At 44.1% G+C, this 13,813-nt stretch overlaps 1 protein-coding gene and 1 long non-coding RNA gene across 15 annotated transcripts in view, besides 1 other annotated feature; one reads left to right on the top strand and one right to left on the bottom strand.

The window, feature by feature from the left end:
• The window catches only part of HLCS (holocarboxylase synthetase), a 241,587-nt gene that overhangs the window by 198,512 nt on the left and 29,262 nt on the right, over positions 1-13,813 (top strand). The gene's annotated exons all lie outside the window — the stretch shown is intronic.
• The window catches only part of LOC105369305 (uncharacterized), a 35,810-nt gene extending 21,997 nt beyond the window's left edge, over positions 1-13,813 (bottom strand). Inside the window, exon 1 of the long non-coding RNA XR_937700.3 lies at positions 1-13,813. This exon is cut by the window's left edge and continues 20,458 nt beyond it. This is a non-coding gene — a long non-coding RNA (uncharacterized LOC105369305).
• Positions 4,481-5,016: an enhancer, noted in NCBI's record as "H3K27ac-H3K4me1 hESC enhancer chr21:38158985-38159520 (GRCh37/hg19 assembly coordinates)". NCBI's record gives its function as "activates a minimal SCP1, AML or CMV promoter by ChIP-STARR-seq in naive H9 embryonic stem cells {active_cell/tissue: H9 hESC(naive)}" and the evidence as "EXISTENCE:reporter gene assay evidence [ECO:0000049][PMID:30033119]".

Below are 13,813 nucleotides of genomic sequence, written 5' to 3'. Positions count from 1 at the left end.
GTGCTCGGCATTCTGTCTGAGCCCCAGCCTGCCTGTCTGCCATATTCCCCATCACCCCCTATTTCTCTCACATGGTACTAACCCACCTAGAGTAGGTTACATTTAATGGGGTGAGAAAAATCCACACCGTAAGAGAAAAGTCGCAGGTGAGGTCAAACTGCTTCCTCCCAGGAGGGAAAATGATTTTTTCTCCTCTCTGGCTCCCACACTGAAAATTCATACAAAAGGGCTCTTTTTATGTTTGATGTATTGCCTTTAAAAAACAAACCTTTCATGTTTTTTCATTTTTGGTTCATACCTCTTGGCCGACCCAGCAGGAACTTGGCAGTTGGTGAGCAGCTTCTCGCAAATGCTGAAAGCGGTCTCACTGAACAGTCACCGCTGCCCAGAGCCCTGGATGTGTGGGTTGGTGTGTACTCGGCTCCGGCAGGGGTGGGGGTCTGCATGTTGTTGCCCCGGACATCCTATGTGGGGTTTCCTTATGCGATTCTTGCTACTTGGTATGTATTTGAATTGTTTTTACAACAGAGGACGCTTCTTAGGGTTACCTGAGGCACGGTGAGCAGGTTTTATTTTGGACAAGCCTATATGTTGCTGTTTTTTTCTATTATGATTCATGTCCCCAAAGATCTCTGCTGAGGCATATTTAGCCAACTTTAAATACAAGCAAGCTCAAACAAAGGCACCCCTGCATCTATCATTTCATTTTCTTCTGTTTACAAAGCACATTGTCCTACACCCAGGTTCTTTGCCAACACCACTGCCAAATCAACACAGATGGACAAAATGGTGGACGGAATGGCTTAAGAACATTTTGCTGACTTCCTCATTTTTTTTCCACGGAGAGAACACCACAGTTCTGCCATCAGCTGCTCCCAGAACCTGAAGTGCTCTGCAGGCTGACAGAAACACTGCCCTGCCAGAGTGGTTAATAGCAGCTTCTGACCTGCCTTCCTGGGCAGACAGCCTCCTGCCTGTCTGAGCCTTCACAGCCCAGATTGGAGCATTCCTGCGTCCGTTTGCGTTTTTCTCCATGGATGATCAAAAGCATAAGATCGTGGGAAAGGCAGCCATTGAGCCACGGAAGCGTAAGATCATGGGAAAGGCAGCCAGATACAGAATATGTCTATGTGGTTGTTTCCTGTCTTCAATCTGAATGAAGAGCCAAGGAAACACCATAGGTCCCACTTCCTAATCCTCCATGATTTTGGTGTGTTTGTTGGCTGTTTTCACCCTCTACATCAGCCAACAAACACACACACCAAAATGTTTTTTTGTTTGTTTGTTTGTTTGTTTTGAGATGGGGTCCCACTCCATCGCCAGGCTGGAGTGCAGTCGCACGATCTCAGCTCACTGTAACCTTCACCTCCTGGGTTCAAGCAATTCTCCTGCCTCAGCCTCCTGAGTAGCTGGGATTACAGGTGCACCCCACCACACCCAGCTAATTTTTGTATTTTTAGTAGAGACAGGGTTTCACCATGTTGGCTAGGATGGTCTTGATCTCCTGACCTCGTGATGGGCCCACCTTGGCCTCCCAAAGTGCTGGGATTATAGGCATGAGCCACTGCGCCAGGCCCAAAACGGTTTTTAATGATAATACCCAGGGTGGGCAAGGATATAATGAAACAGGTACTTTTAAGCCTTGTTCAAACCCCAGTGGGAGTGTACATTAGAGCAACCTCTTGAAAAGCAGTGTGGCAGTAGGCATCAGGAGTTGTAAAAAGTTAATATCCTTGACCCATTGATACCACTTCTAGTAATCTACCCTTAAGAAATGATCAGATACATCGGAAAGTTCATACTCACAAAGATGTATAGTTAAGTACTCTGTACACACTCACTCAATGGAATATTGTCCATCAGCAGAAAGACTATGGCAAGATACAGAAATGCTCAGACCACTTAAAGTAAAAAGCAGGTTTCAATAAATTATTAATTCGTAGATTAAAATCTTAAAACATGCATCTTTGAGAAAGGACTAGAAAATGCGTAAGGTGGCAATCGTTGTGTTAGTATGTGTGATGAAATCTTTTGTTTCTGTTTTCCAGACTGTCGGGATTACTCTCATAATTTTTAAAATTAATAAACCAAATATCCTGTACACTTCCAACCATGGTAAAGGGAAACATTACTTTGGTCTTCACTAATTTAGAATTTGTGATTGTCTTGATACAGATTACATGGAAATTTCCTAGTTTATGGACACAAACAAAATTATAGGGAAAATGTATAAATTACTTGAGTAGATCAAGCCCAAAGCCATATTCTGGTATAATTTTAGTTAATTAAATGTATTTAAAATAAGTAGAACTACATTTAAAAAGAATGTTTTTCACCACATCACTCTACAGTTTTCTGACTTACTGATTTCATTGTGTTTGTAACATTAAATGGATGAGGTGGTATGTACTGTTTAAGAAGTCGAACAACCAGCCTGGGCAACATAGCAAGACCCTGTCTCTAGAAAAAATTTAAAAATTAGCCAGGCATGGTGGCACACACCTGTGGTCCCAGTTACTTGGGAGGCTGAGGTGGGAGGATGGCTTGAGCCCGGGAGGTCAAGCCTGCAGTGAGCTATGATTGCACCACTGCACTTTAGCCTGGGCAACAGAATGAGAGTCTGTCTGAAAACAAACAAACAAACAAAATTAAAAGAAGTAGAGCAAAAAAAATCAGGTGGCTGTTATGGCCATAGGAGATGCGTCTTCTTATTGCCTTTTTCTAGTAGGATAATCAAGATTCTCAGTTACTAACTAGAGGGACTTTCTCTTACCCACTAGAACTTTCCTAATCAAAGAATGTATTCCTAATCTTTCTGCCCCTTCCCCCGCAAAAAAGTGCCCCACAAAAACAACGAAATCCAACTACTAGCAATTAAAGAGCTCTGGCACGTGACTGCACCTCAGTGTCTAGGACGTGAGAGTCATTCATCTTTACCAAAGAAGTTATTCATCCTCAGTAAAAGTTCCTTTGAGTTTTTATAACTTCAGGATCCTTTTAATAACACACTCATTTTATATAATAATATCCAACTGTAATGCAGTACATAAACCTCTCTCCCAGACCCTACCCAGAGCTCCTCCTCCCACACTCATTACTGCTCTGGTCTGTAGCAGGAACTTTAATCTTCCTCTTTGCATTTTAATGCTTATCATAAAAAACGTTATGAGAAGTTCCAGGCAGTTTCATTTTGTGAAAGCACACACAGCAATCTTGATTTCGTTAGAATGTTAAGCTCTGTTTACTGTTCTTGGGTTTATGAGGGTCATTCCGTGGGCCAGTGTGTAACAGTAGGTCTGGAGGCCCGTCAGCCCTAAGTTCCGATGGAGAAGCCACTGAGGTCCCCACCATTGACAAAGGGTCGCTGTGCGGTGTTGGTGTTTGCCTCACTCTTGGGCGGGCCCTGCACAGCTGAGTCATGAGCTCGGCACAGCATGTGTGGGAGTGAGGTGTGCCCATCAGCTCTGCCAGTGGCACGTGCCCCTTAGGGACATTCAGGAAGACGCTTCACCGAGCATTTGGCATGAGTGTGGAGAGGACCTGTGCACAGAACAGCTTCAGGAAGACAAAATGCCACCTCTAGGAAACATCTTGGTTTTAATCTTTTGTGGGGAGTGGTGGCCCCACAGTTTTGTAGAAGCTTGAGGGAGTGGAGGGAATCTAGCAAAATGGAAATGGAATAAACCCATGATCAGACTCAAGTCAACCCAGAGGGATGCAGAGCAAAGGAAATAAGAACCAAGCTGCAGCGTCTCCCCAGAAAGCCCTGGCAGCCCTGCTGGTGGGTAGGGGGTGGGTCTGGTCATCGGCACAGGTGACCTGGCTATTTTATCAGCCAGGGAACAGTAAATAACAGCAGCCAGTGTCTACGTAACCCTGACAGCTGATCAGGCATCTTCACAGGTCTTTTCCTCTTTTCTTAACTTTCCTTAGGGTCATGTGAGGTAGGAAGGAGAGAGCTGAGTTCTCTTTCTGTAGAATATCCTCATGGTCGAGCGGCTCTGACCAGGAAGCAGCGCCTGGTTGTGAAATGGCTGCATCTGGAATATAGGTGCCGCCTCCTCTCCTAGAAAGACCGCAAAGGAGCTTTCCATCATGTCCATTTGATGATGAAAAGAAACCAGGGGAGAGGAACCAGTGTGGCTAAATAAATGCCACAGAACTCTCCTTGGGCATCCCACGCAGCATGGCACATTTATTCCCTAGGGGCCCTGGGCAGTGAAGGGTTAGGGTCCAGTTTTATCTACAAGGAGATTGAGGCTAAGCCTAGGCAGGTGACCCCTGCGGGTCTTAACCAGCCAAGTGCCTCCATGGGGTCTTCTGTGCCTCCTGGCTGTGGCAGGGAGTCCTTGAACCAGCAGCCCATTGTGGTTAGGAACAGAGGCCGTGCTGGAGTGCAAATGGCCTACCAAAGAGGTGCCTCGTCCCACGGTGGCCCTGGAGGACTGCTCTCGGAGGAACATCCAAAACTGAGCCGGACCTGCACTCAGAGTGGACGTGGCAGTGCTGAGGCACACCGACACCCACAGCCCCATGCTCACGCGTGGCCTGGTGAAAACCTAGGAAGTCCATGCTCTTGCGACGTGTTCAGTGCTTCTTCGCCCTGGAAAGTTCCAATGTTGAAATGTGGCTGCACTCAGTGCTGCCTGTGGATGGAATTATGAACTGTGAAGGCCAGCTTCATTCTCCCTACATGGTCGCATCTTTCAGTGCACTTGGGGGTGTGCTGGGCCCCGACCACCCCTGCCGAAGTGAGCCATCCCCGCCTGGACTCTGACACCTCTGTTGTCCCTACTCCTTAAGAGGCCCAAGGCCTCATATCACTCGTTATCCTTCCCATCAATGTCTTTTCTCCCTGGTTGATTACACATTCGGTGAGAATGCAATTTTGCTTACGATTTCCTTGGATCCTCCCATATAGCTAATATGTCATTTAATTCATAGGAATCCAATAAACACATATTTATTATTAAAGACTCCACTGACTCTGTCATTTCAGATGGTTCAAGATGCCTTTCCCTCTCCAGATTTTTTAGGAAAAACCGAAACAAAGAAAATGCATGGAAAAGATTTATGTGTTTGGTTGGGGGAGGGGAAATTAAACTTCTCATAATAGTTTTTAAATTAAATTTTGTGCTCGTCCAAATCCTTTCCTTCTCCACCCCTTCCTCTGATATTCCCTTACTCATTAAAGCCCAGGATTTTGATGGTATTCACAGGGAAGCTGATTTACTGGAATAAAGAAGTTCTTTAAGTTTTAAATTTTGGAACGTTCCCAGTGTGTCTGAACCTGGGTTTCAGATTTTACTGGCATTTTGTTGGCAAAGCAGTCTTTGGAGCCCTTCCTTATTTGAGCGTGTTTCCTGACACCTTTGGCGGTATGGTACTGTGTTTTTTAGATTTAAAAAAAAAAAAAGCTTAAATAGAAAAGCATATATAAACATATACAGAAGATTGATTGTAAGATGTCAAGCAAAATAAAACAGCAGCATACACTCTCAACAATTAACAAATGGGAAGCATTTTCTTTTTAACGGAGCAGGAAGAGGCAAGATGAAGGCAAAGAGACCAGAAGGTTCAGGAAACCCTGGAGAAGGGCAGCTTTACATCTGGGCCCATTCTCCTCTCCTAGCAGAAGTGTCCCTGTTGAAACAGGGTTGAGGATACAGCCCATCCCACCATGCTGAGCCTGTAGTCGATACCTGCAGCTCTCAGGGCCACAGACAGACACAGGATCCAACTCAGAATCCTGTGGAAGGGAAAACACACAATGGAGGGGTCCCCAGAGAGAGGAGTTCTGCCACCTGGGCCTGAAATAGCAAGGGAGGAAATAGTATTTTCCAAAGACTCATAGGTGGGAGGGAGTGGGTGAGATCCAGAGTCCTAAAGCTAGCATCCTGCTTCTTGGGGAAACCTAAGAGCATTTCCACAGAGATCAGGAGGAACAAGGCCAGGATACACCCACTGCCTCCACTTCTATAATACTTAGCATCATCCTGGAGGTATTACCCAATCCAAGTGGACACGGAAGCCAACTGGAGACCTAAGAATCAGAAAAGAAGTAAAACTCTATCTGTGGATGATATTGTAGTATATCTGGGAAACCTTGAGAATAAACGATCAAACTAAACAAACAGTACAAGGATTCAGTAAGAGAACAGGATATAAAATGTCTTGCCAGCACAGAACCCACCCAGAAGCACGAATCCACCCAGGTCTCAAGGGGTCAGCCCCCACAGGCAGAGAGCCGGGAGAGATGGGTAGAAAATGGAATTGGGGGCAAGGGATGGAAAATAACCATTTGAACGAAAATCTGTTGTAGAATTGGATTCCGAACCAGGTTTCGTTCACGGGGGCCATAAACCCAGCGTGTCATGGAGCAAAGCCCTGCCTGAAAGAAAGAGGCCCCTTGTCCCACTGAGTGAAGAGTTAAGCTGGTGCTAAGCATCCCGGCAAACGAGCTCTGGCGTGTTGGTTGATCTCTGGCAGGGCGGGGTGCAGGGAAGGCTCTGAAGAGAGGTGGGAGCCGAGAGAGGGAAAGAGGAAGGTGACACACAGGGCGTCAGGGTGGTGAAAGGCACACTGGTTTTCAGGCCAGCTGGCAGGGCAGGGCATTCTTCCTTGTCATTACCCCGAAGGCGACGGTACCTGGGGTAAAATCAAGGGCCCAAGTGGCCGGGTGGAGCTGCCCTTCTGTAGGAAGGAATTCGTTACCTTCAGGTTCCTTTGTTTGCCCAGGTGTTTCAGATGCCCCTTCACTCTGTAGGTAAAGAAACTTCTTATTAGTATTATAATTTATGTAAATTTCATAAGGGAAAATGAAGTATTTGAAGCAGAATACGTACAGAGCTGGGAAAATAACTGTTCAGACACATAGCACAGAACTGATGAACTTGGCCACCAAGCTGGTAGTATTTACTTTTAGAAAATGTAAGGTGACTCTGTTTCAGTTCTCAGAAAAAAAGATAAAGCAAGAACCCCATTTTGATGTTATTATTTGGAAGTCAATTTCCAGATCTTTCTAGAAAGCCTTATAGCCTCCAGGACTGTTAAACTTACACAAATGCATTTTAAGAGGCTGGCCGGCCGGGCATGGTGGCTCACGCCTGTAATCCTAGCACTTTCGGAAGCTGAGGTGGGTGGATCACCTGAGGTCAGGAGTTCAAGACCAGCCTGGCCAACATGGCAAAACCCGATCTCTACTAAAAATACAAAAATTAGCCAAGCATGGTGGCACATGCCTGTAGTCCCAGCTACTTAGGTGGCTGAGGCACGAGAATTGCTCGAACCTGGGAGGTAGAGGGTTCAGTGAGCTGAGATAGTGCCGCTGCACTCCAGGCTGGGTGAAGAGCAAGACTCTGTCTCATTAAAAAAAAAAAAAAAAAAAAGAGGTGGTATTTCTACCTTGAAATTCTGTTTTGATAAAAGCAAAAGATTCTTTCCTAGTGAGTCAGAAGATGGGCCTCTGAGCCAGGCAAACCTGGTTGACTGTTCTCTGATCTCACCAGGCCACTTCTGCGGTGTAGCTTCCACTTATCAGCAGTAAAATGAGACTACTTGGCAATGATGATGTCTTGAGAGTCACTGGGACATTTAAATGAGAACATGGCTCATACCAAGGGCCCAGCATGTGGATGGGTGCTCAGTCAAAGGAACCACTGGCTTGCTTGCAGTGTAGAATCTTGAGATCTATAGCTGAAGATACCCCTTCCCCATGGCCCGTTCATTCATTCATTTATAAGACCTTGGAGAAATCTTACAGTGAGTGGAAAGATGGTGCCATGTTGGCTGGTGTGCTCACTGTTGGAAGCCTGCCATATTGAGGTGGCAATCAAGTGTGTGTGTGTGTGGATTTGTGCATGTATGTGTGTGTGTGTATGTGCATGTGTGTGTGTGCATGTGCACACATGCTTGTGTGTGTGCGAGACACCAGCCCTTGCTATGCTTCATGGTGCTAAAAACGACATCTGGCAGACCTGACATCTGGTGATCGCGAATGAAGCCACTGTAGGGAGACAGAACACCAACAGGGATTCAGACACACTAAGTGGCTGTCTTGCACGTAATGGCACTTTGTGGTGCACACTTTGTGTCCGAATGCCAGTTCTTTGTTCCTTTCCCCTTTTTCCTTTTCCTCGACTACCTACCACCCTCTGGCTCTAGAAAATGAAATCTCTCCATCTGTGGGACTGTTGTTGTGCCGTCCTAGTAAATATCAAAATAATGCGATGCTTCATTTCAATCATTGAAGGAACCAGAAGAGAATTACTGCCTCTTTGATGTTGTAGCTCTGGAAATTTTTTAAAAGAAATGTAGTTTTAAAAAAGTCATTGAAAAATAGCTTTGGGAACAGTGGTTTTAGAACCCCAGTCTTTGGACCAGCTGCATTCTAATCATCTGGGACACACCCAAGCTCTGGCTCTGGAGGTTGGGATTCAGAGGGTATCTGGGGTCTTAGCATCAGTTTGTTTTTGCTTTGTGTTTTAAAACTGCAGGCGATTCTGATGGGCAGCATTGTTTGAGAGCCTAGCTCTGGAGGCAGCTTTGCCTCTGTGACCTTGATGGTATGGCCAGGAACCCATGCTTGTTGAGGTGGGTAGCTCCTAGCAAAGACTGAGGCATTTGTTAAAATTGAGCAAAAAGTATTAATACAATACAAAACATCTAAATATGTTCTCATCTGTTTCTGGAGGTTTTCTTTGTTTTGGTTTTGGTTTTTTTCGGAGACAGAGTCTCACTCTGTCGCCCAGGCTGGAGTGCAGTGGTGTGATCTCGGCAGTCTCTGCCTCCCAAGTTCAAGTGATTCTTGTGCCTCAGCCTCGTGAGTATCTAGGACTACAGGTGCCTGCCACTATGCTCAGCTAATTTTTAGTAGTATTTTAGTAGTATTTTTAGTAGAGATGGGGTTTCACTATGTTGGCCACGTTGGTCTCAAACTCCTGACCTCAGGTGATCCACCTGCCTCGGCCTCCAAAAGTGCTGGGATTACAGGCATGAGCCACTGCACCTGGCCTGTTTCTGAAATTTTAATGGAAATGGTTGAGGAGAGTCTTAAAGTGTTTTCCTTTGCTGTTCGGTAATGCTCCCTATTCTCCTCTACACCCTCTCCATGGAACACGTTTTGTGGAATGTTCAGAGGCCTGGTCATTCTGGGCTGATCTCTACCAGAACTGGTCCAGACCTCTTAAGGAGGTCAGGTCTCCAGCCTGTTTGTCTGGAGTATTAAGGTAAAGCCTCAGTTAAGGTTCTTATATGTAGATTCTTAAATGTAGTCCACATTAATATAAACTCATTGTCTTACTACCCATGTGCTGCAAGTACCTCACATAGACCTGTAGGTGCAAAGATATTTGATTGAGAACAGGAGTTCTGAAAGCTATTTCAAGAAGAAATCAAAAAGGTTTCTTTTGGAATTTTCCTACAGGATCATTGGCAGAAATTTTTTTTTAGTCTTCCTCAGAAGGAGTACTTCAGTGGAAAAAGGATGGGCTCATCAAAAATGAAGGAAAATTTTCAAATTCATTTCAATGAAGTAAATAATATTGATACTTAAATCTGTTAAAGACAGTATAAAAATTACAGGCCAGTATCACTAATGAGCATCAATGCAGAAATTCTAAATAAATATTAACTAACAGAATCTAACATTAAGACAAATGTGATTTTTTTTTCTAGGAATGCAAGATTGGTTTAATATTAAAAAAATTAATAGATCTCTTAACTCATTAATATGTTAATAGATCAAAAAAGAAAAATGTATGATTATTTCCATAGATACTGAGAAAACACTTTATAAAATTCAACACCCTGTCCTGATTTTTAAAAATTCCAAAAATAGGACTTAGTGGATAATTTACTGACTTGTAAGTGTCTGTGAGTCCTAGATAGCATCTTATATAGCAGGGAAACACTAAGAAACATGGCAAGGAGGCCCACTGTCTCCACCTCTGTTTGGCATTGTACTAAAGGTATTAGCCAATCCAAACAGACAAGAGAAGTCAATTAAAGGTATCATTGAAAAAGAAGTAAAACTATCTGTTTGCAGAGGAAATGAGAAACCTTAAAGAATCAGTGATTCTCTAACTCAAACAATAAGAGAATTCAGTAATAGAGCAGGATATAAAATTATTATACAGAAATCAATAGTTTTTATATACAACAAGCAATAACTAGTTAAAGGAAATTATGGGATATATTCATAATAGCAACAAATAAGATAAAATACGTAAGATAGTGCATAAGAAATATGCACAATCAACACAAGATCACTTTAAAACAATCTGAAAGACACAAAAGTATATTTGAACAAATGTAAGTCATCCTTTGCTCATAGGTAGGACAACTCAAAATCACAAAGATGGTCAGTTCTCCCCAAGTTAATTTATACATTTAATGCACTTAGACTAAAAATACCATCAAGGCTTTTTTTTTTTTTTTTTTGAGACAGAGTTTCACGCTCCTGTTGTCTAGGCTGGAGTGCAATGGCATGATCTCAGCTCACTGCAACCTCCGCCTCAGCTCCACCTCAGATCATCAGGCCTTAGATTCTCATAAGGAGTATGCAACCTAGATCCCTTGCATGCGCAGTTCACAGTAGGGCTCCTATGAGAATCTAATGCTGCCGCTGATCTGACAGGAAGTGGAGCTCAGGTGGTAACGTGAGCTGTGGGGAGCGGCTGTAAATACAGAGGAAGCTTTTCTAGCTTTCTTACTCACCTGCCTGCCTGCTTCTCACCTCCTGCTGTGCAGCCTGGGGGGTGGGGGGGTGGGGCAGAGCTGGGGACTCTGCCCTAATATATAAGAAACTCTTAACTTTTGAGTTAACTCAAAAGACATTAACTGGTCATTGACTGTGTATACACACGCACATGCACAGACACACGCCACTGTCCATTGGTTAGGCTGTAGGGAAACAGGTATCTCTGCGCGGCTGTGTGCAGTAGTGGGGGTTCTGGCAGAATCTGATAAAGCTACCAGTGTGTTTACCTTCTGGCTCAGCATCCCACTTCCAGCAATTTACCCTGAAGATATACCTCCAGCAATATAAAAATCCATGCGAATAAGAGTGTTCATTATACTGTCCTTTTAGGAACTACCTAAATGCCTATACATAAAAGAGTGGTTGAAGAGGCTGTGCTACATCCACAGAATGGAGTCTGCTCAGCTTTAAGAAGAAATGAGGAGCCGGGTGCGGTGGCTTATGCCTGTAATCCCAGCACTTTGGGAGGCTGAGGCAGGCGGATCACGAGGTCAGGAGATCGAGACCATCCTGGCTAACATGGTGAAACCCCATCTCTACTAAAAATACAAAAAAAAAGCCAGGCGTGGTGGTGGGCACCTGTAGTTCCAGCTACTTGGGAGGCTGAGGCAGGAGAATGGTGTGAACCTGGGATCGCGCCACTGCACTCCAGCCTGGGCAACAGAGTGAGACTCCGTCTGAAAAAAAGAAAAAATGAGGAAAAGCTCTATGAACTTATTTGCAGCTGCTCCCCAGCACTAGCAACACCGCCTCAGCTCCACCTCAGATCATCAGGCCTTAGATTCTCATAAGGAGTATGCAACCTAGTGGTTCCCGGGTATATTAATTGTGTGGGGTAGGTGGATGGGGGAGACAAAAGAGCATCTACAAAATGGTAACTTTCTGTAAGGAAGACAAGGAAATAAGAAAATATGCATGTATCCATTCATTTGTGCAAAAAGGAACACAGGAAGAATAAACCAGAAATGAATGAGATTTTGATTTGTGGTTTACAGAAAGGAGGTGGAGTGGGAGACCTAGGTAGAAGGAATGGGTAGGGGAGTGTGACACTTCTCGGAGTATACTTGTCTGTGTACAGTTCCGACTCTGAACCAGGTTAAACAATGAAAAAGAAAGAAGGATTGGTGGGGTTTGGGTGTGGGGGTAAAATGTAATATAGAAGTACAGTTAAACCTAACCTGATTTCAGACAAATAAAATAACCACACTAAAGTAAAGGGGAAAAAAAAAAGAACAAATCCAAGGAAATGTTCAATACAATATTTGAATCTATACCCTCAGGCTAAGGGCAAAAAAAACTGTAAACAAATATTGAACTCTAGTTAGTAAGTGTGATTTCGCAGTAATATGGATCAGCACTGCTGAGACCACTTCCCCCTGTGTATTATGGCATTGAGCAAATGAATAAATAGTGTAGATAATGCAAGCCAGATTTCCCACTATTGGAGAAAGAATTTATGAATATAGAAAAGGAGGGGCTAGAATGAACCTTGTGGTATTGGATTGGATTGGAGTTTATGATGAACTTATGGTTTTCAAACTGGATGGATGGATGGGTGGTAGATGGATAGATTAGATAGAGAAAGAAGATGAGAATCTAGAGGAAGGAAGAAAGAAAGAAGGAAGGAGGGAAGGAAGGAAGGAGGGAGGGATGGATGGACGGAAGGAAATACAGTTGACCTTTGATTCATCAGGGGTATGAACTGCAGGGGTCTACTACACATGGAATTTTTTCAACCAAAGCAGATTATTCATGGGATGTGAAACCCATGTATATGGAGGCCAATTTTTTGTGTACTCAGGTTCCACAGAGCTCACTGTGGGACTTGGGAGGCAGTCTGGAACAAATCCTCCATGAATACCAAGGGACAATTGTAATGCATATATACACCCTAGACACACATGCACACATTTTCTATCTCTTTCTTAGCCCCAGTTTTTTTAAAAGACCGTTTTTCACCAAAAGGAACCAGAGCTCCTTGGAGAAATCGCTGATTCCAGGGCAGGGGCTGAGAAAGTTCAAGATGAGCCTAGAACCTCTTATGCCTGAAAGTAGAGACCTCTTATGCTGAAAGATGACTGGGACACACCAGTAAGACCCAGGAGCCAGACTGAAGGAGCATTCACTTGCCAGATATGTGGCTATTTGAGTATCAAAATAAAAAATGATAGGAAGGCATACAATCTACTGAAATAATAAGAATCTATAAGTCTACTCTGATATAAATAAATTAAAAGATAAATAATAAGTGGAGGGGAGAAGAAAAAGTTACTCCTTACAGTAGAACCTCACAAGTGAATATGGAAGAAATGATGGTTCAGAAAAATCTGTTTGGCAACCATCAAGTAAATAATTGATTCAAGGCCAGGCACGGTGGCTCACACCTGTAATCTCAGCACTTTGGGAGGCCGAGGCGGGTGAATCGCCTGAGGTCGGGAGTTAGAGACCAGCCTGGTCAACATGGAGAAACCCTGTCTGTACTAAAATACAAAAATTAGCTGGGTATGGTGGTGCACACCTGTAATCCCAGCTACTCGGGAGGCTGTGGCAGGAGAATCGCCTGAACCCAGGAGGCAGGGGTTGCAGTGAGTGGAGGCTGCACCACTGCATTCCAGCCTGGGTGATAGAGTGAGACTCTGTCTCAAAAAATAATAATAATAATTGATTCAAGCAGCCAGGCACAGTGGCTCACGCCTGTAATCCCAGCACTTTGGGAGGCAGAGGTGGGCGGATCACAAGGGCAGGAGATCAAGACCATCCTGGCTAACATGGTGAAACCCCATCTCTACTAAAAATACAAAAAAATTAGCCGGGCGTGGTGGCGGGCGCCTGTAGTCCCAGCTACTTGGGAGGCTGAGGCAGGAGAATGGTGTGAACCCGGGAGGTGGAGCTTGCAGTGAGCTGAGATCGTGCCACTGCACTCCAGCCTGGGCGACAGAGCGAGACTGTGTCTCCAAAAAAATAAAAAATAAATAAAAATAATAATTGATTCAAGCAAGAATCATTCATGGATACTAAAACTAATAGATTAAATTTCATGAGAAATAGATTTAT

This window comes from Homo sapiens, chromosome 21, assembly GCF_000001405.40.
Source record: "Homo sapiens chromosome 21, GRCh38.p14 Primary Assembly".
Taxonomy (NCBI): Eukaryota; Metazoa; Chordata; class Mammalia; order Primates; family Hominidae; genus Homo; species Homo sapiens.
The sequence above is the reverse complement of the archived record's forward strand: the minus strand, read 5'-3'. Positions and strand labels throughout refer to the sequence as shown.